General features: G+C 49.4%; 1 protein-coding gene across 2 annotated transcripts; it reads right to left on the bottom strand.

The window, feature by feature from the left end:
• Window positions 1–7,604: 7,604 nt before the first annotated feature.
• On the bottom strand, window positions 7,605–20,603 carry PWWP4 (PWWP domain containing 4). Of its 2 annotated transcripts, none has more exons than NM_001395996.1 (4): window positions 20,521–20,598; window positions 18,708–18,780; window positions 16,041–16,221; window positions 7,605–15,343 (listed from the first exon to the last, which is right to left on the bottom strand). In NM_001395996.1, exon 4 carries the CDS (start codon window positions 15,130–15,132, stop codon window positions 8,947–8,949), a length of 6,186 nt encoding a protein of 2,061 aa, NP_001382925.1. In that variant the 5' UTR covers window positions 15,133–15,343; window positions 16,041–16,221; window positions 18,708–18,780; window positions 20,521–20,598; the 3' UTR covers window positions 7,605–8,946. The 2 variants fall into 2 exon arrangements, with proteins under 2 accessions (NP_001382925.1, XP_047298374.1); XM_047442418.1 differs by having other exon boundaries at window positions 7,630–15,343; window positions 18,714–18,780; window positions 20,521–20,603.
• Between the last annotated feature and the right edge of the window lie 3,027 nt (window positions 20,604–23,630).

Genomic DNA, 23,630 nt, shown 5'->3' with positions numbered 1-23,630 from the left:
AGAGGCTGAGGCAGGGGGATCACCTGAGCCCAGGAGGTGGAGGCTGCAATTAGCCATGACCACACCACTGCACTTGGGCCTGGGCAACAGAGTGAGAGCTTGTCTCAAATAATAATAAATAATAATAATAATAATAATAAAATGTTGTCAAAATGGATGTTCAAAAACCCCTTTGACTCTGCTTTCAATTTTGGGGGGTATTACCTAAAAGTGGGGTTGCTGGGTAATTTTATGTTTCATTTTGTGAGGAGCCATCATAATATTTGCTTGCTTTTTTAAAATAAAAATAAAAATAACCAAATCTCTCCCCAACTTTGAAATAGAAAATAAAATTATTTTACTAAACAAAGTGATTGATTGTTTTGCTCTGATTCTTCCCCAGGTCCTATTACAATGACAAAGTATCATCATGGAAATAACATAGAGCTCACCTTCGGAAGTCAGGCTCCAGCTGGGACCATGGATGGGGCCAGGGTGCCTGTGACTGCCCGGCCAGAGAAGGCACCCTTCTAGGGGTCTTGTGCATACATGTCTGTTTCCAGGGAAGGGCCCTTCCCCCTTCTGGTTCTCAAAGGGGTTCATGATCCCCAAGGCTGAGGACGTGCTGGGCTAAGGGACGCCTCCGTCAGGCCCAGGCTTGGGCTTGGAGGGATGTTATTCCGCTCCTTATTCTCTTCTTTCTTTTAGTAACTTTGTACGAAATTTGCCTTTGATCCTCTTGTCAACTGGTTTTCCCATGAAATCAGTCCTTCTGCACTTGTGGAAGGGTGGGAGAGGCTAGGTTTTCTGATTTCGCGTATGAAGGGCACTCTCTTCTGGTGACTGTGAGAACTGTGACCATCTGTCTGTTTACCTTCCATTGTACGTTCTCCGTTTGTTCTCCCTCTCCATTGTGATTCGGACTTTCTCTTTTCTTTGCCCCTATTGTGCCTGTCTTGCTTTACTTGTCTTCTATTCCCAGAAGTTTCTGCTCTGTGGGGGCCTTTGTCCTGGAGGGAAGATTTGAGAGTTAATTGGGTCCGGTCTGTTTCAGCGCCTTTAGACCTTCAGGGTGATGATGAGCCCTCCCTTGCGTCTCCTCTGGGAGACTGTGGGCTCCTGGATAGTGGGGGCATTGGCCCCTACCTCTCTGTGTGCCTGGTGGCTGGCACAGGGGCTGACTCCACCCTGAGATGTCTGTGAAGACACTGGCCCACCAGCCCCACTCACCACGTGCGTGTCTCCTGGAGCAAGGGCTCGTTCAAGCCAGGGGCCCCTCCTTGGTAACAAATGAGAGAAACAGGCCTCCCCCACCTCCCCGAGGTCTCCTTGACCCTCCGCACCCCCGACCCCTGAGCAGGTTTATCCAAGAGCCCTGGAAGGCCTTTTGTCACTAGGCCTGCTGGGGGCCCAAGTCACCATGGGGCCCACCTGCAGGCAGGGGAGTGTGGCACTTGCTTCTCCTTCCCGCCGTCTCTCTCCCTCTCTGCCCCCAGGCCCTTCTGACCTCTGCAGCTTCACCGTCCAGCCCCCACCACCCCCCAGCATTCCCCTCCCCTTCAGAAGCCACTTAGGCTGCTCTAGCCATTAGTGGGCCCAAGAGAGCTGCAGTGGGGACGACACAGTCAAGGCATGGAGGCAGGTGAAGGGCGCAGTGGAAGGTGACGATAGAGGCGTTTGTGGCTGGCAGGCTCTAGCATTTCCCAGCACACGCATGAGCAAGGGGCAGTGGGAATCTCAGCCAGATTAAGGGCAGCACGTGCGGTGCTTTATGCAGAAAAGAGTCTGGGTGATGAAGAACAGGCTGGGGGTGTTGGGTTTCTATGACGCCTGGGTATCTAACATACAATGATCTTAGCCTGAACCTTCTCCTGGAAGAGGTGGACAGCCAGTTGGATGTATCGCTTTCTGCTGTTGATGGGGTCAAGGGCCGGGAGAAGGGAGGTCTCTATGATTTACATGGTTTGAAAAAGAAGGAATGGTTGAGTTATACTGACTGGGCTCCAGTTCACAGACAGCATCCCGAGAGATGGCTCAAAACACAGGACTGGACAAAAAGTGGGTCCCATTTTCAACTCTGGTGCACGTCCTGAATGTTTCATTGCATCTGCAAAGTGGAGGCTGAACTAGGTGAGTAGAACCGTAAGGAGACGGGCAAGAGCCATCCATGCTCTGGGCTGAGGAGCCTGGCCTGCGTGAGGAGGGGCAGTGGTCATGCCCAGTTAAATTTGGAAATGCATGGGACCCCTTCTACTCAAGATAGCCATCCTTAATGGGATGTTTGAATTTAACTGGGCTTCCAGTGTTTTTATTTGCTAAATCTGGTAATCCTAGCAGTGTAGTCTGAGAGCATGCACTTCAAAGGGACTGGGTATTTTTCAGGGAGGATTGAGGGAGAATGATGTGGAAGCCACTGTGAGAAGCAAGGAGGTCACCTATGCCACCTCCAGGCCCTGTGCTCCAAGGAGGGTGGACAAGAATAGCCCTGCTGGAAAGGGCTCAGAGGATGCGGTATCCGGGGGTGGGGGTGGGGAAGTCCTGTTTCCATGACAGCATGCAAGGGAGGTACAGAAAGGAGTTTCCAGGAACGTTGGCGGGCGGCAAGGCTGGGGGGCCGTCTGTGGCAGGACACGGGGCTCTCAGCAACAGGATGCTGAGCTCTGTTGGGCTTCTCCAAAATGAGACTGGGAGGCTGTCCCATCTGGAGGATGCGTGGACTTCACTTCAGTTCAAGGAGGAGACCTATTCCTCCCCTGCAGCCTCAGGAGGGTGCCTACTCAAGACAGTGGCTACCAAATGTAGACAGGCTTCCACTGAATGTCATTGCCCTGCCCAGTGGCTTGCTCTGAAACCTTATTGCTCATCACACACCTAAACCCTTTGCCCCACTGGGTAGCCTTGCCAGCCTTACTGAAAATCAATGATCAAACATGGAGGTGTTTATTTCTGCACTCTCAATTCTATGCCATTGATTTGTATGCCTAGATTTGTGGCAGTACCACACTGTCTTGACTGCCATAGCCTCATAGTAAGTTTTGAAACTGGGAAGTGCGAGTCCTCCAACTTTGTTGTTTGTTTCCAAGATTGTTTTGGTTTCAGAGTCCCTTGCAATCCCATAGGAATTTGGGGTCTGCTTTTCCATTTCTGCAAAGGGCTGTTGGGATTTTGAGAGGGATTGCATGGAATAAGTAGGTAAATTGGGGGAGTATTTTCATCTCCCTAAACAATAACAATTTTATATTATAGCAACATTACATCTTCCAGTCCATGGACACAGTATGGCTTTCCATTTGTTTAGGTCTTTTATTTCTTTCAATAGTGTTTTGTGGTTTTCAGTGTACATCTCCCTGGCTAAATTTATTCCTGAGTATTTTGTTCTCTTTAAGGCTATCGTAAATAGAAGTGTTTTCTTAATTTCCTATTCAAATTGTTCATAATGTGTGGAAATGCAAATGGATCTTGCATATTGACCTGGTATCCTATAACTTTGCTGACTTTGTCATTAGCTCTGATGGCTTTGTTTGGTGGATTCTTTGGGAGTTTCTATATATAAGAACATGCCATCTATGGGTCTAGGTCATTCTATTTCTTCTTTTCCAAATTGGATGTCTTTTGTTTCTTTTTCTTTTCTTTTCTTTTTTTTTTTTTTTTGCCTAATTGCTTTGGCTACAACTTCAAGTAAACTGTTGACTAGAAGTGGTGAAAGTGAACATCTTGTCTTGGTCATGATCTTAGGGAGAAAGCTTTTATTTTTTCACCATCGAGCGTGATTTTAGCTGTGGATTTTTCATGAATGACCCTTTTCATGTTTAGGAAATTCTCTTCTTATTTTTCTGAGTGTCCTTATCATGAAAGAGTGTTTGATTTTCTCAGATGCTTTTTCCACACCATTTGAGATAATCACGTGGTTTGTTTCCTTCATTTTATTAATGTGGTGTATTACGTTGTCTGATTTTCGTGTTGGACCACCCTCACACTGATCTCACTTGCAATAAATCTCACTTGGTCGTGGTGCATAACCCTGTTACTATGCTGCCCAATTTTGTTTGCTATTACTTTTTTTTTCTTTGGAGATGGCATTTAACTCCGTCACCCAGGCTGGACTGCAGTGGTACCATCATAGCTTACTGCAGTCTTAAACTCCTGGGCTCAGGATATCCCCCTGCCTCAGCCTCCTGTATTTGCTAGCATTTTTTTGAGGATTTTTAAACTTTGTTTTCATAAGGGTCATCGCCTGTAGTTTTCCTATGGTGTCTTTTTCTTCCTTTAGTGTCATGGTAATGTTGGCCTCATAGAAGGAGTTGGGAAGACTCCCCTCCTCTTTTATTTTTTGGAAGAGTTTGAGAAGGAGTTATGTTAATTCTTCTTTAAAGGTGTGGTAGAGTTTACTGGTGAAGCCACTTGGTGCTGGGCTTTTATTTGTTCTGAGATTTTTGATAACAAAACCAATCTCTTCACTTGTTATAGGTCTATAGAGAATTTCTCTTTGTTTATGAGCCAGTTTGTTAGTTGTGTGCTTCTAATAATTTGTCTGTTTCCTCTAGATTCATTCTTAATGTAAAATTGCTCATGATACACTCTTAGAGTCTTTTTTTTTAATCCCTGTAAGGTAAGTAGCAATGTCCTTGCTTTCATTTCTGATTTAGAAATTTGGGTCTTCTCTTCGTTTTCACTATAGAAGTGGTATTACTTCTTTGTTCCTGTATTGTAAAGAGGGAGCAGCTTAGTAGGCTCCCATATGTACCTTTCTATGTAATGTTGCTTGAACCAACATGAAGATGATGCAACATCCAAAGTACATCACTGACAACTAGGTCCTGAGGGAAACAAACTTGGGATGGGTCCAAAGAACTATCGGATCCCCGGTTAGAAGAACTTTAGACAGAACTGCATTATTTATGTTGGTAAATAGCCACAGGTTTTCTGGGAGAATGTGTGGCTGAGTGTTTCTGACCTCCACTTCCATCAATAAGCTCTGGGCCTATGAACTGACAGATCTGGACCCTCGGTGGGGGACCACAGTTTTCCACGGCAGCTGCTAACATCAGCCTTCTGCTTGCCAGCTCATGTTATTCTTTTAATAAAAATCAAGTAATAGTCCAGTCAGCTGTCCTTACATGCAGGCCCTGAGATACTACAATCTGTAACGTTGCCACAGGTCCCTGTTCATCAAATGAGCCTGACCCCACCCTGATTGTGCTGCCCAGTACGACAGTGGTGCCCACCTGAGCCCTGGTAATTTTGTGTCACCGTCTGGACCCTGCCATTTGAGAATCCTCTCATTGCCTGCCAGTTCCATGGCGGCGTCGCTTGCTTCCAACCATTGTTTTGAGAGGAGTCAAAGCAGAGGCTCTCAAAGATGCCGGGGCCACCCCACTAGCAAATTCCTCATTTTAGAGTGTCTTCTCAGCCCTCGAAGGGGACAACATTCACAGGTAGGGCCACTGGTCTCACATAATGAATCACATCTAATACTGCTCTCCGCTCAACCCTTTCACCAATTGGTCAATATTCTGCCAAGGCAGTTCCCATAACTCCATGTCATTTACTGTAGGCTGTTGTCCAAACGTGAAGCTGCCAGCCCAGCAGGATCTGAGGCCAGCCCCAAGACAGGGAACCCCACCTTATAGCTCCGTGCTCCCACGTAAATACACTCTCCCCTATATTGAACTGTATTCTGTCTGCTGTCTTGCTGGTTCCGCATGCCCAAAATCCATTCCCACCTATGCTGTCCCAGGTCATGCCAAGGCGAACTAGCCAGCTTCTGCAGCTTATCTGAATATGAGGTATTTCCCACCCAAACAGAAACCGTATTTCTCTTCTGTGCTGTGATCTTTCCTATTCAAACTTCGCGCTTGTCAGAGCGATGAAAGTTAGCGGGATGGATGTTAGGTAAGACAAGCAATTTTTTTTCTTAGAGACTGGGTCTTGCTCTGTCTCCCAGGCTGGAGTGCGAGGGTGCCATCATACCTCTCTGCAGCCTCAACCTCCTGAGCTCAAGCAATCCTCCCGCCTCAGCCTTCCGAGTAGCTGGGACTATAGGCACATACCACCACGCCTGTGTAGTTTTTAAATGTTTATTATTGTGGAGACAGAGTCTTACTATGTTGCCCAGACTGGTCTCCAACTCCTAGATCCAAGCGATGCTCCTGCTTCGGCCTCTCAGTGTGCTGGAATTACAGGCTCGAAGGCAACTTCCTTTACGGCAGCTCCCTTGGACGAGGTCTTTACAGAGCCTCCATGAATAAGGGGATTGCTCCCCAATTAGCAAGGGTTAGGTGGTTGCTAATGCCAGGGTGAGGGTTCAGGAGATTCTAGGTATTCAAAATTCTCATGGGCATCACTCTTACAAATCTGAGGGTTCCCCTCTTTCCCCATCAGTTGCTTACTTGGATATAGAGACCTACGAATGTGGTGTGAGCCGTCTCTGTGTGTGCAGCTCTGCCAAGCAACAGTTAAGATCAGGGCCTGATGGGCAGCAGTCTTCCTTCTGACTGGAGAAGAGGAGGTCACCTTAACCTAGCGGGCCAGGGTGGGTGACAGGCTGGGCTCTGTCATCAAACACACAGGCACCTGTGATGGAGGTCCAGCTGAGGGCAATCATGGAGGGGCCGCAGCACCTGCTCAGGCTGGAAAGGATCTCAGAGTCTATATATCCCTCAACCCACACACGTGCCCCGGATGCCTTTCAGTGACCCTGATTCAAGGAGGAGGAGAATAGATGCATGTCCGAGGCATGTCTGCCTCTCTTCAGTGGATGCCCCAGGTGTCAGTGACATCCAAGAGAGACCAGGTCTCCTCCCTTCACCCCAAGCCAACAGGCACCTATGACCTCACATAGTTGGGTGAACCTGGGGCTGTGCTCTCAAAAACAGGCCGTCGGCCCATGACACTGGTGAGAATTTCTCACTGACAGAGGGAAGCAGTGCATCCTTGTTACCTTAAAGATTAGGTTGTCACCTGAGTCACCACATTCCCGTCTGTTTCTATGTCACCTGAAGTCGGTCTTCAGAGCAGAGCCTTCAACCACACCTCACTTGCTCTCCCGATCTAGCATGAGGTCAGGAATGAATGAATGGGGTAGGAAAGTAATATTAGAAGCTAGAGATAAACATGGCTCCATGAGAAAGCTGAACTCAGGTGATATGTTGGACTCGGGGAGACAGTGTTGTGGAGTAACTAAAGTGTGTTGTCTCGGTGTGTGAGGTCCACACACAGCACGGAGACGATCTGTTTCCAAATAATTGCCGGGGCCATGAGGATGTCACATGGACTGCCCAGGCAGTGTGCCCAGGAGTCTTGGTCACACTCAGGCAGAGTCTAGAGAGGGTTCCGTCGGGTCTGATGTATACACCACTTGGAAGGCTCTCTTCTAAAATTTCGTCAGAATTTCCAAGCTATTATTGCTTTGGAAGTGTGTCTATATATTTCCTAGACCTTCCACCTATGGATTTGGACAATCTCAAGCATGACACAGCTGAAGTTCAAGGTGGGAGACACAGTGGTTTTAAGGTGACTCCAAACAGCTCCTCTGCCAATGTCGCCCCAACACATGGCCATGTGAACACATAACATGGTCTCATGAGAACAGGTGACTTCCTCTAAGAACTAAAAAAGGACTCAGGTTCATGTGAAGGCCTTCACGTTTATTTTAGCATCAAGTTTGAAAAACAAACTGGCTTTTCCATAACACTTATCCTCAAAAACCATCTTGTTTCAAGTTAGCCTAGCAATCTGTGGGCTTCACAACTTAGGTCTGAATTGCATCTGTTTAATATTATTCCACCAAGGGCCGGCCCCACTTAGCGGAATGAAGGCTGCCCCTGTGACCCATTTTTCCAACTCCCAGCCCTGGCGCCTCTAGCAGCCGGGAATGGCTTACCAGCCTGTGTCTAGATTGTTGGGACCTGTTGGAGCCGGCCCGTGAATAAGTTGGAAGATGAAGCTTGGTGACATTGAGACAAATGGCCACGTCTTGGGGGATTCTGGATCCAGAACAAGGAGCTGGCTTTACTCCAGTTTACGGGCAGGTAGACGGGCTCCTAAGCAGTTGGGCCAGCCACACAGGTGGAGAGAAGCCAGGCCAAGAAGGAGATGGCTCTAGCTGCCCTCCACAGGGGACCGACAGTTAGAGGGAGAAGATCCATCACTGTCAGTTATGAAGACAGCCTGAAGCCTGTTCTAGGAAACAGTTCAGCCGTTGAAGGAGGGTGTGGAATTTCAGGGAAATGCAGAGCGACAATCTTGCATGAGGCTGACAAGACGCTCACTGCACACTGAGATTTCACTCAAGCACATATGGACTACGTGCAAGCCATTCGGTAACTTCATGTTTGGCCTGCAGTTTGCTTTTTGAAAAAGTATCGGAAGGTCGTGTTAACATAGGAGAAAATGACTCTCTCATGGGATTCAACTCTCGGGGCTACTTTTCAAAAAATAAACAAGCCTAGCAGGGAAAAGGCAGGAATTATCTGAAAGAGGAATCTGATGGTTTCTATCCACGTATCGCCAAAAGAATGAAAAGTCTCACTGACGTTTCCATAAAAATATACATTAGGCTTTAAAAATTATTGTTGTTTAAAAGCTGATACCAGTGGCTTTTTGTGTAAAAGAATATAGGTCCTAAGTGAAAGTACCAAGTCCAGTCAAAAGACACGTTATGAAAATCAATGCTCTTGTCTTTCAAACCTATCGGGACAACTACACATCCAAAGACGTTGAGGGAATCGCAAGGGGTTGCAATCGTTTAACAAAATAGCTCTTCACGAGTTTGCGATGAAGACCTGGTGATGAATGTGCCACCAGCACATGCGAGAGATGGGCCCCAAATGAATTCCTCACATTCCCAAAGTCTCGAATATCCAGAACATACTTACACGCGTTGGGGAAGGGAGGAGGCTTCCTCATTAATTCTAGAAAGGAGGCAGCTCCCTGGGAAGGTATGGGTGCGGGGGAGGCAGGCGGGAGCTAATTAGCTGTATGGGTGGTTGCTGGTTCTCTTCTTGCCTTCTTTAAGATATTTCTGTCAAACAGCTCTTTCTCCCGGTAATGCACAGGTGGTCCTCGCAGGTACTTCTCCTCTGCTGCCTTGTAATCCAGCCCATCAAGTGCGGCGATGGTACAAATCATGGCTTCCGGCAGAAGAACTTCCAGAACAAAATTGACTTTGTCATCCCTTATCAGAGTCAGCCTGGCCTTGTCAATTTGCTTGTAGATTTCTTGTAAATGCTTGGCCACGACTTCCAACTGATCGTCATCCTCCAGGTATGTTTCAATGCAGTGCAAATCCCTGTGTGGCTTCAGAAACGCGGTCAGCCACCTGGACTGCTTCCTGCCTTGCAAGATGTCCAGAAGGTGGGGGTCGGCCCCCTTTCTCCTCACGATGAAGTCCACGAGCTTCTGGTTGTCTCGGTCCCAAGAGGCCCTCATCCGGTCCGGGAGGATTTTCTTGCAAGGCCTCTTCCCGCCCAGGGAGGTCTCCTCCTCCCAGTCTTCCAGGTCGCCATAATTCACCTTTGGAAAGTCAATCTGCAGGTCTCCCTCTTGGATGGCTCTCCTGATTGGGTAGCTGATGTCTGCGGCATAATAGTCCAGGAAAGAGCCCCGGAAAGAACCCCGGACCAGTCCTTCTCTGTAGTGGGAGATCAGTGAGAAGCACCAGTTGACGCTTTGCTTGTAGGCCTTCTGGGCTCTCTTCAGCAGTTTCTCTTTCTCCTTACAATCCAGGTGCTTCAGCCTTCGAAGAGGAACTTGAATGCCCCGCTTTCCATGGTGCAGGTTGGCCTCAAGCAGGAGCACCCTCGCGGTCTTGTCTGTGTTGCTGACACTCTTGACCACTGCTGGCCAAAACGGATGATCTTGAAATTTGAACCAGACCATCGTTCCCCTTTCGATGGGATGTGGCTCCTGTGGAAAAGCAAGGCTGGGGGGCTGCCCATCCTGTTTACCGCCAGCCCTTTGAATGGTGGTGACAGGATTAGCAAGCTTAGCGTCACCAGGCGTCTGAGGTCCTTGAGGTCTCCTCTGAAAATCTGGACCTGGACGCTTCCTTTTTCTATTGGCAAGCCGGAGTGAAGAAGGCAGCCTGTGCTGACGGGACCCAGAGGATGCAGCCATACCTGCCCAGCCTGGCTTCCAGGCACCCTCTCCGGGGTCCTGAATGTTTCCCGAGAAGGGAGAACTTTCCGGGGATGCAGCCAGGGCCTTCTTCGGGCGGCTGTCCTGTGTCTCTTCCTTCAGAGCGGGGGGTGCAGGGCTGGTGAGACCTGGAGGCAGAGATGCACCCTCCTCCGTTACTGTGGGAGGCAGGGACATAAGAGTCGAGGCGTTTGCCCTTTTCTTCCCCTTTTTCTCACAAACATGCCGCGAAAGCGTCAGGGAATCCTGGCAGGCTCGGGGGCTTTGCAACACATGTGCTTGCATTCCAACTGGAGTAGGAGCAATGGCCATGAGCGCCTGTGACCTGTCCCTGCCCAGGGCACCTGGAGTAGGATCAATGGCCATGCACGCTGGTGAGCTGTCACTGCGCAGGACACTTGGAGTAGGATCGATGGCCGTATGTGTCTGTGACCTGTCACTGTGCAGGGCGCCTGGAGTAGGAGCAATGGCCATGCGTTCTCCTGAGCTGTCACCACACAGGGTGACAAATGGAGTCTGAGAAATGGCTTCGCGTTTCCATGACCTGGTACCATGCAGGGCCCCTGGCATAGGTGCAATGGCTGTGTGAAATGGTGAGCTGTCACCGCGCAGAGGGCCTGGAGTAGAAGCAATAGCCTTGTGTGCCTGAGAGCCGACACGGTGCAGGGCGCCTAGAATAGGAGCAACGGCCCTGCTTTCTCTTGAGCTGTCACAGTGCAGGGCGCCTGAAGTAAGAGTAATGTCCTGGTGCGCTGGTGACCTGTCAGCATGCAGGGCGCCTGGAGTAGGAGCAAAGGCGGTGCACGTTCGTGAGCTGTCACAGTGCAGGGTGCCTGGAGTGGGAGCAATGGCCTTGCGTTTCCATGACTTGTCATCGCGCAGGGCGCCTGGAGTTGGAGCAATGGTCGTGTGCACCTGGGAGCTGTCACCATGCAGGGCTCCTGGAGTAGAAGCAATGGCCGTGTGTGCTGGTGACCTGTCACCATGCAGGGCACCTGGAGAAGGAGTGATGGCCTTGTGCGCTGATGAGCTGCCACCGCCCAGGTCACCTGGAGTAGGAGCAATGGCCTTGTGTGTCTGAGAGGTGTCACCGTGCAGGGCGCCTGGAGTAGAAGCAATGGCCGTGTTTGCTGGCGAACTGTCACCTCGCGGGGTCCCTGGAGTAGGGGCAATGGCCGTTGAGCTGTCATCACCCAGGGCGCCTGGAGTAGGAGCAATGGCCCTGCATGCTGGTGACCTGTCAATGCGCGGGGCACCTGGAGTAGGAGCAATGGCCTTGTGTTTCCGTGACCTGTCAGACCTGTTACCGAGCAGGGCACCTGGAGTAGAAGCAATGGCTTTGCGTTTCCGTGACCTGTCAGACCTGTTACCACGCAGGGCACCTGGAGTAGAAGCAATGGCCTTGCGTTTCCATGACCTGTCACCTCTCAGGGCCCCTGCAGATGGGGCAATGGCCATGCGAGCTGTTGAGCTGTCACCGCGCATGGTGCCTGGAGTAGGAGCAATGGCCGTGTGTGCCTGAGAGCTGTCACCGTGCAGGGCGCCTGGAGTAGAAGCAATGTCCAGGTGTGCTGGTGACCTGTCACCATGCAGGGCGCCTGGAGAAGGAATAATGGACGTGCGCCCTGGTGAGCTGTCACGGCCCAGGGTGCCTGGAGTTGGAACAATGGCCCTGAGTGCTGGTGACCTCTCAACGTGCAGGGTGCCTGGAGTAGAAGCAATGGCCTTGCATTTCCGTGACCTGTCAGACCTGTTACCATGCAGGGCACCTGGAGTAGAAGCAATGGCCTTGCGTTTCCATGACCTGTCACCTCGCAGGGCCCCTGGAGATGGGGCAGTGGCCGTGCGCGCTGTTGAGCTGTCACCGCGCATCGTGCCTGGAGTAGGAGCAATGGCCATGTGTGCGTGAGAGGCATCACCATGCAGGGTGCCTGGAGTAGAAGGAAAGGCCATGTGCGCTGGTGGCCCGTCACCATGCAGGGCGCCTGGAGAGGGAATAATGGACGTGTGGGCTGGTGAGCTGTCACCGTGCAGGGCACCTGGAGTAGGAGCAATGGCCATATAAGTCCATGACCCGTCACCGTGCAGGGCCTCTGGAGTAGGAGCAACGACCCTGCGTTTCTGTGACCTGCCACCACGCAGGGCGCCGGGAGTAATAGCAATGGCCCTGCATTTCCTTGATTTGCCACCAAGCAGGGCGCCTGGAGTAGGTGCAATGCCCATACCCACCCATGACCTGTCCCCGCACAGTAAACATGGAGTAGGGGCAATGCTCCTGCGTGCGCGGGACCTTTCACTGCACAAGGCGCCTGGAGCAGGGGCAGTGGCCTTGCTCACCCCTGACCTGTCGCCGGGCAGGGCTCCTGGAGTAGAACCAGTGGCCGTGCATTTTCGTGACCCGTCACAGTGCAGGGTGCCTGGAGTGGGAGCAACGGCCCTGCGCACCGGTGACCTGTCACGGTGCAGGGCACCTGCAGGAAGGGCAATGCCTGTGCCCACCCGTGACCCAACCCTGAACAGTGCGGATGGAGTAGGTGCAATGGCCCTGCCTGCCTGTGACCTGTCCCTGCGCAGTGCACCTGGAGTAGGGGCAACGCCCATGCCCACCTGTGACCCCTTCCCGCACAGTGCGCATGGAGTAGGGGCAATGGCCCTGCGCACCCGGGACCTTTCACTGCACAAAGTGCCTGGAGTGGGGGCAATGGCCCTGCTTGCCCCTGACCTGTCACTGCACAGAGCTCCTGGAGTAGGATCAATGGCTGTGAGCTCTCGTGACCTGTCACAGCGCAGGGCGCCTGGAGTAGGAGCAATGGCCCTGCGCACTGGTGGCCTGTCACGGCGCAGGGCATCTGCAATAGGGGCAATGCCTATGCCCACCCGTGACCATATCTCGCACAATGGGCATGTAGTAGGGACAATGGCCCTGCGTGCTCGTGAACCGTCACCGCGCAAAGCACCTGGGGCGGGGGCAAGGCTGGTGTGCGCCCGTGACTTTTCACCACGCAGGGTGGCTGGAGTAGAGGCAATGGCCCTGCGGGACCGTGGCCTGTAACCTCGCAGGGTGCCTGGAGTAGGGGCAATGGCCGTGCGTGCCCGTGACCTGTAACCGCTCAGAGTGCCTGGAGTAGGGGCAATGGCCCTGCGCACTGGTGACCTGTCACGGCGCAGGGCATCTGCAATAGGGGCAATGCCTATGCCCACCCGTGACCATATCTCGCACAATGGGCATGTAGTAGGGACAATGGCCCTGCGTGCTCGTGAACCGTCACCGCGCAAAGCACCTGGGGTGGGGGCAAGGCTGGTGTGCGCCCGTGACTTTTCACCACGCAGGGTGGCTGGAGTAGAGGCAATGGTCCTGCGGGACCGTGACCTGTAACTGCTCAGAGTGCCTGGAGTAGGGGCAATGGCCCTGCGCGTCCATGACCTGTAACCTCGCAGGGCGCCTGGAGTAGGGGCAATGTCCGTGCGTGCCGCTGACCTGTTGCCGCCCAGGGCGCCCAGATTAGGTGCAATGGCGGTGCCTGTCGTTGACCTGTAACCGCGCCAGGCACCTGGGTTAGGTGCAATGGCCCTGCGCGCCCATGACTTGTAACCTCGCAGGGCACCTGGAGTAGGGGCAATGGCCTTGCACGCAGATGACGTGTTTCCCCGCAGGGTCCCTGGAGTAGAAGCAATGGCGCTGCGGGCCCGTGACCTGTCCCTGTGAAGGGCGCCTGGAGTAGGGACAAAGGCCGTGCGCGCTGCTGACCTGTCTCCACGCAGGGCACCTGGAGTAGGGGCAATGGCCTTGGACACAGATGACCTGTTTCCCTGCAGGGTCCCTGGAGTAGAAGCAATGGCGCTGCGTGCCCGTGACCTGTCCCTGCCAAGGGCACCTGGAGTACGGACAACGGCCGTGCGTGCTGCTGACCTGTCTCCGCGCAGGGCACCTGGAGTAGGGGCAATGGCCCTGCACACCCATGACTTGTAACCTCGCAGGGCGCCTGGAGTAGGGGTAATGTCCTTTGGCACCCGTGACCTGACACCGCACAGGACACCTGGAGTAAGGGCAATGGCTCCGCAAGCCCGTGACCTGTTGCCGCACAGGGAGCCTGGAGTAGGGGCAATGGCTCTGTGGGCCCGTGACCTGCCACCGCGCCTGGCGCCTAAGGTAGGGTCAATGGCCCTGCTCGCCTGTGACCTGTCCCCGCACAGGGAGCCTGGTTTGGGGGCAATGGACCTGCATGCCCATGACCTGCCACCATGCTTGGTGCCTCGAGCAGGGGCAATGGCCCTGTGCGCCCGTGACCTGTCACTGTACAGGCAGCCTGGGGTAGGGGCAATGGCCCTGTGCGCCCAAGACCTGTAACCTCGCAGGGCGCTTGGCGTAGGGGCAATGGCCCTGCGTGCCCGTGACCTGCCACTGAGCATGGCTCCTGGAGTAGGGGCAATGGCCCTGGGCGCCCCTGACCTGTCCCCGGGCAGGGCGCCTGGAGTAGGGGCAATGGCTGTGGGCTCCTGCGACCTGTCATCCCGCAGGGCACGCTTACTCTCTGAAGGGACCGTCGGTGAGCTTGGGTTTTCCCTCTTCCCAAGACTCCTCCTTAGGTCGCCTTTGCATCTCCAGTCATCTTCACGAGGGACAGAACTGGCTGGCTTTTCGGGCACCTTTTGAGAAAGCTGAGAGGGTGTGGTGCTCTCTAGTTCATGTGGTTTCCTTCCTCCACCCAGATTTGTTCTCTCTTTCAGAATCTCCAGGGCCACCCGAAGGGTTCCTCTGTACCCCATCTTCTCTCTGAGTGGGGCACCGAGCTTCGTCTGTGCTGCTGCAGAGGCGGCAATGTCTTCCATCTCAAACTTAGTTGGGGTCTTCACGTCTGTGCTTTTCACCTTGATTTTTTCATCTACTGCGAGGATTTGAACTTCTAGAGAAATCGCCTTTTCAGGCTTCGTTTTTGGTGAAGTCCCACGTGTGCACAAAACCTTTGCTGGCCATAGTCGGCCTTTCCAAGAGCATAGGACGTACTCCGAGTCCATGATGAGCTGGGAAAAGGTAGCTAAGGGAGGCCGAGGGGTCTGCCTGCCACACCCTCTGCTACCGTAGGTCTCTCCTAAACCAAGCTGCTCTTCAGAGCATCCCTTGCCTTCAGACTGCAAAGGGGGTGCAGTGTGGGTGGGCTGTGTTCCTCCTCCTGAATCTCCCTGAGGCACTTGAACTCGTGTTTCCAATGGACAATTCTGGAGTATGCTGCAACATGGTAAAGGGAGAGCGGAAATGTATCAGGAAAGCATCCTTTCGTGAAACGCGAAGCACCCTGCTCAGTGAGGTTGATAAAATAAGGAAACGTGACAAGTGAGTCTTAGACAGAGGGATAGACAGATGGCAAGTATTTGGGATCATACAGAAGGTCCACAGAAGCTTTATTACACAGCAAACCCAAGGCCTTCTCCTAATTTTAACAATTCCGTCTTGAGGAGCACCTGCATGGGGAGGTGGGTGTACCAGCAGGGACCCCACGTTTCTTACTGAGTATTCTGTGCCTTTGGGCTCCTTGGGCGGAAACCTGGGGAAATGCTTCATGTTTTTATTTCTAGGGTGCTAGTATGGACCTGTGCTTCCCAGGAAGCCCGAGGAGGTCTCCCACATGCAGATGCTGGGTGTCGGCACCATGTCATGTGCAAGAGCACCCAGAACCCAGAGCTGCGTGGCGATCATCCTGGTGATTACTGGCTACCATCGGTCGTGAGGATCGCTGCAGGCAGCGGTCACTGGCTGCCATCTGCACCTCTCTACCGTGGTTTTAAACTTTTGCCTGCCGACACCAAATCAGTGACTCTTATCCTGAAAACAAGTGTCTGTACAACGATGGGCAAGGAAAATTCCACTGTGAAATGTCAGCGTGAGGTGAATGCAAGTGAATGTTTAGTAAATGGGGAAATCTTACCCAGTGTCACATGGATCGCAGCAGGTTTGGTTCTGTGAGCTGGATCTCTTGCTGCTCACACTGCAAGCGCTGGTGTGCAGACCCTTCAACCCCACTCTGTGCCCCTGAAGTGCGCTGTTCTTCTGGCGACCCAGTGGCACCGCGTGTAGATGCTCAGGACCTATGCACTCCTAATGTCAACCTGGAAACACAAACACAGATAGGAAATTAAGCCAATCAAGTGATTTATCCTGTTCCCCTCCCCAACTCTTGAATGCATGCCCTTTTGAAACAGAACTGACGTCTTCATCTCAGGCATCACGTAGTTGTCATCTTTGTTTTCTGCCTTCTTTTGCATCTCAAACAATTTCCCTGTTATGCCACTTAGCGTATGCTAGTCTTTTTCCATTTCAGAACCTTGGGAACTAGTGCTTTCCCGAGAGCATCCCCCTAAGACAGAAGGATTCCATGTTAGCAGTCTCTCTCTCTCTCTCTCTCCTCTCTCTCTCTCTCTCTCTGTGTGTGTGTGTGAGAGAGAGAGAGAGAGAGAGAGAAATGAAATGTGCTCAACGAGATTGATAAAATGAGGAAACATGACAGGTGAGTCTTGTCATGTTATTGTGTTTTTCTGATTCTCAAATAACATGAAATGGGTTAGCATAGAATATGAGATGTGTAGACAGACATGTGAAAGGACATCACGTCACAGAATCTCAGTCTACATGATAATGTGCCCGCTTCCAAGGCATTGCCGATGCGCCAATGTGCACACACACATGCACATATCATCTTCAACTGGAGCTCCTAACCTAAGAGCATAACTGGATACATTGTCTTGTGAATGCCCGTGTTCCTACCTCATTTGTGTGAACGTCTGTACAGTGAGGTTTCCCTGCTAGTTCCAAACTTTATTTAATGAAATGTCCCATATTATAGAAACGTGCACCGAAGATGCAACTCTTTTGTCAATCCTTCACTTCCCACCTTCCACATCGAAATACTCTGCTAGCCTGTTGTTGTTTTCTATAGCCATTGTACAATATTTGGTACTGTGCAACATTGGGTATCATAGCTCACTTACATATTTTAGCTCATGCATTGTGGACTTCAAATTACAGGTTTCATAGGCCAATAATTATTTTCTTAATAAATGCATGTATGTGTGTCTTTGTTCACGGGCACTGGTAGATGTAATATGAAATGTATAATGATGATGAGATATACATACTTTAGGGAAAAGTTGTACAAAACCTTTCTTAGACGAGGGTATATGAACGTACAGGTTTAATGCCCTCTTCTTTAGAGAACTCAGAGTACTGGGTTGTCAAGCACAAGTGTCAACTGAGGACCCCGAACAAAAGTGAGAAGGAATCACCAATGACCCTGGCACTTCAATCTCCCCTTAACTGGACCTGCCAGCCCATGTCACAAAACAGGTGTGACTGGGCACCCTCAAGCCCAAGTCAATGCCTACCCACATCCCCAAATGCAGAGTCTCTCCTCTCTTCCTCTCTCTCTTTCTCTCTCTCTCTCTCCACACACACACACACACACACACACACACACACACACACACACACACACGTTGGAAACTCAAGGAGCCTGGCATTGATGCATAGAATCCATGCTCACTGCCTCTACACATTCCTGCAAATGTTTCTGCTTCCAGTACAAATGCTGTTTTCTTCTCCATTTAGTTTCTTATTTTAAACATAGACAGGGAAACATCTAAAGGGATGTCTAAAATTTCTAAATAGGAAATATAGTAAGCATCAGCAATCCCATCACCCAGAAATGCTTATTGCAAGTATATGAGTCCACACACTCCAGAATTTTTGTCCTGTTTATACATGTATATTTCTACAAGATATTTAAAAGCTTAAAGTTTGCACAGCCATTTGAATATTCTTCAGTATTGGCATCTGGCAACATCTTTACAGGTGTGAAACAGTTTAAGGGACTGCCTCCTACAGACCTCCAAAATATCCATTGCAGCTAAGTTCGGATGGCCAAAGCCATGCCTCCTTAAGAGAGATCATCAGAAGGGAAGTGTGTGAAATCAAAATATGAAATGTTCTCTCACCACATGCGTTGGCCCATCGCCCAAATACCTTCTATCAAGGGTTTGCATATAGTCTTGCTGGTGACTTTCTCCCCATATTTTGTACTAAGGGAAACACAATTGTTTTCCCTCCCTCTAGAGAGAGAGAGAGAGGTAGGTAGGTAGGTAGGCAGGTAGATGGGGGATAGACAGATGGATAGACAGATAGATAGATGGATGCATACAGGTAGAGATGGATATAGATTGATGAGGTTGAATGACTCATAGGGATAGATAAAAATAGATGGATAAAAGATAGAGATAGATAAAGATATATATTAGCTAGAAGGTCTATAGATATTCAGAATAATAGAGAGCCAGAGATAGAGACATAGATGGTGGAGACAGATGATGAAGAGATATATAGAGAGAAAGACAGTTGGATATAGAGATAGATAAATATAATTTTATAGAAGATAGCGGCTTGATAGATATGAAGAATGATAAGAATAGATAGGTGATAGATGGATGGATAGAGATAAAGATAGAGATGGATGAAGACAGAGAGATGATGGATGGACAGCAGAGTGGCTAGAGATAGAGCAAGATAGCTAGACAGGTCTACATCTATGTCTGTCTAGGTTTACCTTTACCTGTCTATATTGCAGATCCAGCTAGATCACGATGTGCAAATATTGATCTACTTCCGCATACCGGGATCTATGAGATAAAAAGGGAACATTCACTAAGCCCAACTCAGTTTTGTGAGTGAACCCAAGTTCTCAGACTATTGAGTGAGTAGGACAATGTGTTGAATATTTTACTTCAAAATGAAATCAAACACCACCTGCACAATGAGACTAAGCAGATGAACATAAAAGGAAGACAGGATAAATAGTGAGTCTACAATCTATAACATCACAGTCCATTTTAGGTCCCTAAAGACATTATCAGTAGAGCATTTTCTATTTTTGGTATATAACTTTTATTCTATTCCATTTGCTCTTTAGTTGAGGGATGAAGGAACTAGAAGACCGTGAGCTTTTATTTCTCCCAACGACAGCCATGATTTGGGGGATAATTATTTTGGAAGCCCTGTGTTAATTCCTTTCTCAAGTGAGGGTTCATTTACTTTTTAGGAACAAGTAAAAGAACACAGTCCTCAGCAGCTCTTCTCAAAGTGGGGTCCGTTTCCTGACGTGGTCCCCCTCCCACCGAGAGGCATGCATCCTCCCTCCAGCACCCCTCCCTAGCATTACCAGAGCTTTGTGGAGCTCCCGTCGGCTGCTGGGTGTGTGATTTTAGACCTTCCCCCAAACAGGTGTTTCCTTCAAAGGATGAGCTGGCGGCATCCTTTAGTACAATAAAGGCACCGTGTATTAAATGGTTTCTCTAAAGGAAGTACATTCTTGTGTATTCCTACACCTTCCGTTTGCGCTGGTGAATTGCACATAAACTTTCAACGTAACTTTAGAGACAGGTCTACGCTTTCCTAGGGTTTGCAGTGCACTTGTAGCACCATTGGGTGAGAATTGGTATCGGTCCAGTTTTCCCCTTATTCTGTTCACTAATTGCATGCATCAGTAGAGGATGCAATTAGTGAACAATTGCACCGCTCTCCGACCTGGAGAGCAGAGCCGTTTGGTAGACAATAGGAACACAATGGCCCGCCCTGGTGAAGGAGCCTGTGTTTTTCGCTTCTGTCATCGAGAAGGGGCCCTCACTGATTTTCACTCAATTCACCTCATCGTAGTTAGCGGAGTGAGACCAGGAAATTCACCTTTTACAGAACATGGGTCTCAAGGGTCAGCTACGCAGGATGAGCCCAGCATGAGTCCCGGCCTGCTCAAAGTGACAGGAGGCCTTCCAGTCCTACCCATGGTAGCTCCTCATTTGCCGGCATCAGATTTCCCTCTCCTAATGTATGCATCGTACGTTCTTACAATGAGGAGGCGAGCAAATTTCCATCCTGAAGGAGACCTGCGACATTCCTTTGAGTTCAGAAATCCTTGTGGATCTCTGCTTTAAAGGACTGACTCGGGTGACAATGCTCTGGCTCAACAGGTGTCACCTCAGGACAGTGAGTCAGGACAGTCAACTCAATGCCACACACATTCACACACACACAGAGACACATACTTCCTCACACACACACATCCATACACACACCCCCAAACACACACACATCCTCACACACACACATCCTCACACACACATCCTCACATACAAACACGCACACACATGCACACGCATCCACACACATCCACACACACACCCCCAAACACACACACATCCACACACACGCGCGCACACACATACACACATGTCCACACACATCCTCACACACACACCCACACACGCACACACCGTCACACACACACACACAGACACACATCCTCACACATACGCCCTCACCTCCCCCCCGCCCCCGACACAGTCACATCGATAGCAGACACCTACTAGTCTTGACGTTCCTACAGCTATTCCAGCTGTCCGCTCTGTAAATATCCTTGCGATGTGTGTCTGCCGCCAGGAAAGAAACGTTTACCTTGGTTGTCATAGAAACCGAAGTGTCGTCCCGAGGTTCTGCTGGATGACGACTTGCTACGGAGAGCAGGAAGCGCCAATACATCCCCCGAGGCTCAGCGTCGATCTGGAGCTCACTCAGTGGCACCCCGCTCAATCTCACGCGGGAACCAAGAAAGGATTCGCAACAGGGCTGGGAATTCTCCTTGGCCTAGGCGCTGGGGGCAGGGGAAGTTTCACAGAACGGGTCATGGAGGGAGGCAAGTGAAGGCGTCACAGGTTCTGTTCTCCCTTGAGGCACAGGGACGTGGGAGCCAGGTTCCCTGAGGGGCCACCTTTCCCACCGCCAGAACACACGAGATCAGGTACTTTTGTGTACCTATAGCTTAGCTCACACCGAGAACATGCGGTATTCGGTTTTCCGTTCCTGAGTTAGCTCACTTAGGATAATGGCCTGCAGTTGCATCCAAGTTGCCACAAAAGACACGATTTTGTTCTTTTTTTTACGCCTGACTAGCATTTCATGGTGTATATACACATTTTCTTCCTCCACTCATCAGTCGATGGGCACTTAGGTCGATGCCACACGCTGGCGATTGTGAATTGTGCTGCGATAAACATACATGTGCAGCTGTCTTTTTCACATAATGACTTCGTTTCCGTTGGGTAGATACCCAGTCGTGGTATTGCTGGATCGTATGGTGTATCGACTATTAGTTCTTTAAGGAGTCTCCATACTGTTGTCCATAGGGGTTGGACTAATTTTGATTCCCACCAGCAGCGTAAAAGCATTCTTTTCCACCACATTTGCACCAACATCTATTGTTTATTGAGTTTTTAATCGTGGTCATTCTGGCCGGGGTAAGGTGCTATCTCACCCTGGTGTTCATTGGTGTTTCCTTGATGATGAGCAATGTTGAACATTTTTTCAAATATGTCTTGTCCATTTGTATATCCTCTTTTGAGAAATGTCTGTCCACGTCATATGCCCACGTTTTAATGGGATTATTTGCTCTTTCTCCTTGCTGTTTTTGTAGAGTTCCTTGTAGATTCTGCATATTAGTTCTTTGTCGCAAGCACAGTTTGCAAATATTTTCTTCCATTCTTCAGGTTACCTTGTTACTCTGTTGATAATTTCTTTGGCATATTTCTTTCGATACTTGTGTTGTTGTCAAAAATGGACTTATTTTTCATGGACCATATTTGTATGTAAACATGAATGGGCTGAAGATTATTTTTAAATTGAAATTTTCATTTAATTGATAGCTCAGGTTTTTTCAAAACACTTGAACATATATTGCATGGGTCTAAGAATTGTTATTTTTGAAAGAAATATTTATTGAAGTGAAACTCAGATAACATAAAATTAGATATTTAAGCATACCGTTTGGTGGCATAAAGTAAATTCACAGTATTGCAAAATCATCACCTCTGTCTATTTACACAACATTTGCATCAATCCCAAAGAAAACCCTGTACCCATGAGGCAGTCACTACTGATTCCCGCCTCCCTCCTTCCCTGGCATCCACTCATCCGTTTTGTAATCAGATGACATGATAACAACCTGATTTCTAAGTATCGCTAATCCTTAACATTTGCTTCTTCTGGACATTCCATAGAAATGGAATCATAGGGTATGTGACCCTTTGTGTCTGGCCTATTTCACGTAACATGGTTTCCAAGTTCATCCCACGTCGTACCATGTATCAGAGCGTCATTCTTTCTCACAGCTACGGAGTATCCCGTTAGGTGGATCCATCATGTTGTGTTCATCCATTTATCTGTTGGTGGTAATGTGGGATGCTCCTATTTGGCTGTTGTCCATGGTGCTGTTAGGGACATTCATACACATGTATTTGCTTGAATGTCTGTTTTAAATTTTTCTGCATGTATCTAGGAGTGGAATGATGGTGTCATATGTTCATTACTTTTAACATCTTGAGGAAACACCAAACTGTTTTTCGTAGCAGCCACACACCATTTTACATTCCCGTCAGCAGTGTATAAGGCTTGCAGTTTCTCCACATCTTTAACAGCAGCAATTTTTGTCTTCCTCTTGAAAGTAAACAACCTGGGGGGTGGTTAGCTGGTAGGATTGTGGTGTGATTTGCATTTCCCTAAGAGTAATGACGTTGAGCCTATGTTCTCCGTCCCTGTACCCTTGCACATGCCTGGATCCTATTTTGCTTATTGCATGGGCCATCTTTTCCGTCCTCATTCATGTGTTAAACTCCTACCCACATCTCAATATCGATCAGCAATATTTAGTCTGCTGAGTGCTTCTCTAAAAGCCAGACTCTCACCTTGATTTCTTTGAGACTATGAACGAAACAACAAAGCGTGATATTTAGGCTGTCAAATGGCCTTGAGAAAATTCTACACCACGGGCTTCTAAAACAGTGAGAAAATGTTTTGTCACGAGTCTAGGTAATCAGAAGGAGTAAATTGGCAGTGATCAAGGTGGAGTAGTATTAGCAATGTGCTGTTCTTAGAATTAGCACTGAGATGAGTTATGAAATCTTGATGTATCTATGGTACGTAGACATCTATGTATTACCTCTTGGAGCACATGGTGAAATCTCCAGATATTTTCAGACTACTATATGCCTTTTCCAGTAGTAACGTGCCATTGTGACGGAGATCAATCTGAGGCAATGTTTAACATGAGTAAGTGAAACGAGAGATAATTTTCAGTAAAGTTACTGTAGGAAACCACATTCAATTATATGATCTCACAAAGAGTCTGTAGTACAGCAAGGGCTCTGGCAGCCTTTGCCCATTGTTCCTCACCCAACACGTTGGTGGCTTGCTATGAGCCAGTGAAATGCTGATGGTCACAAGCAAGTGAATTCAAAGGGAATAGGATACAGTAGCCTTACCTTTAACCTGTTACTCGCACAGGCAGTGGGAAAGCACGATGAGAGTGAATACAGTCTTGAAGACTTTGCTAAATGTAGATGAAAGAAGGAAAATGCATGATTACAAACAGAAAGAAACTTGCAGAGCTGGTAGCAAACAAAGACAGGTACGAAAGTTAAAGATA

The sequence above is a fragment of the Homo sapiens genome, chromosome X (genome assembly GCF_000001405.40).
Source record: "Homo sapiens chromosome X, GRCh38.p14 Primary Assembly".
NCBI classification, from domain to species: domain Eukaryota; kingdom Metazoa; phylum Chordata; class Mammalia; order Primates; family Hominidae; genus Homo; species Homo sapiens.
This window is presented reverse-complemented; position numbering and strand designations above follow the sequence as displayed.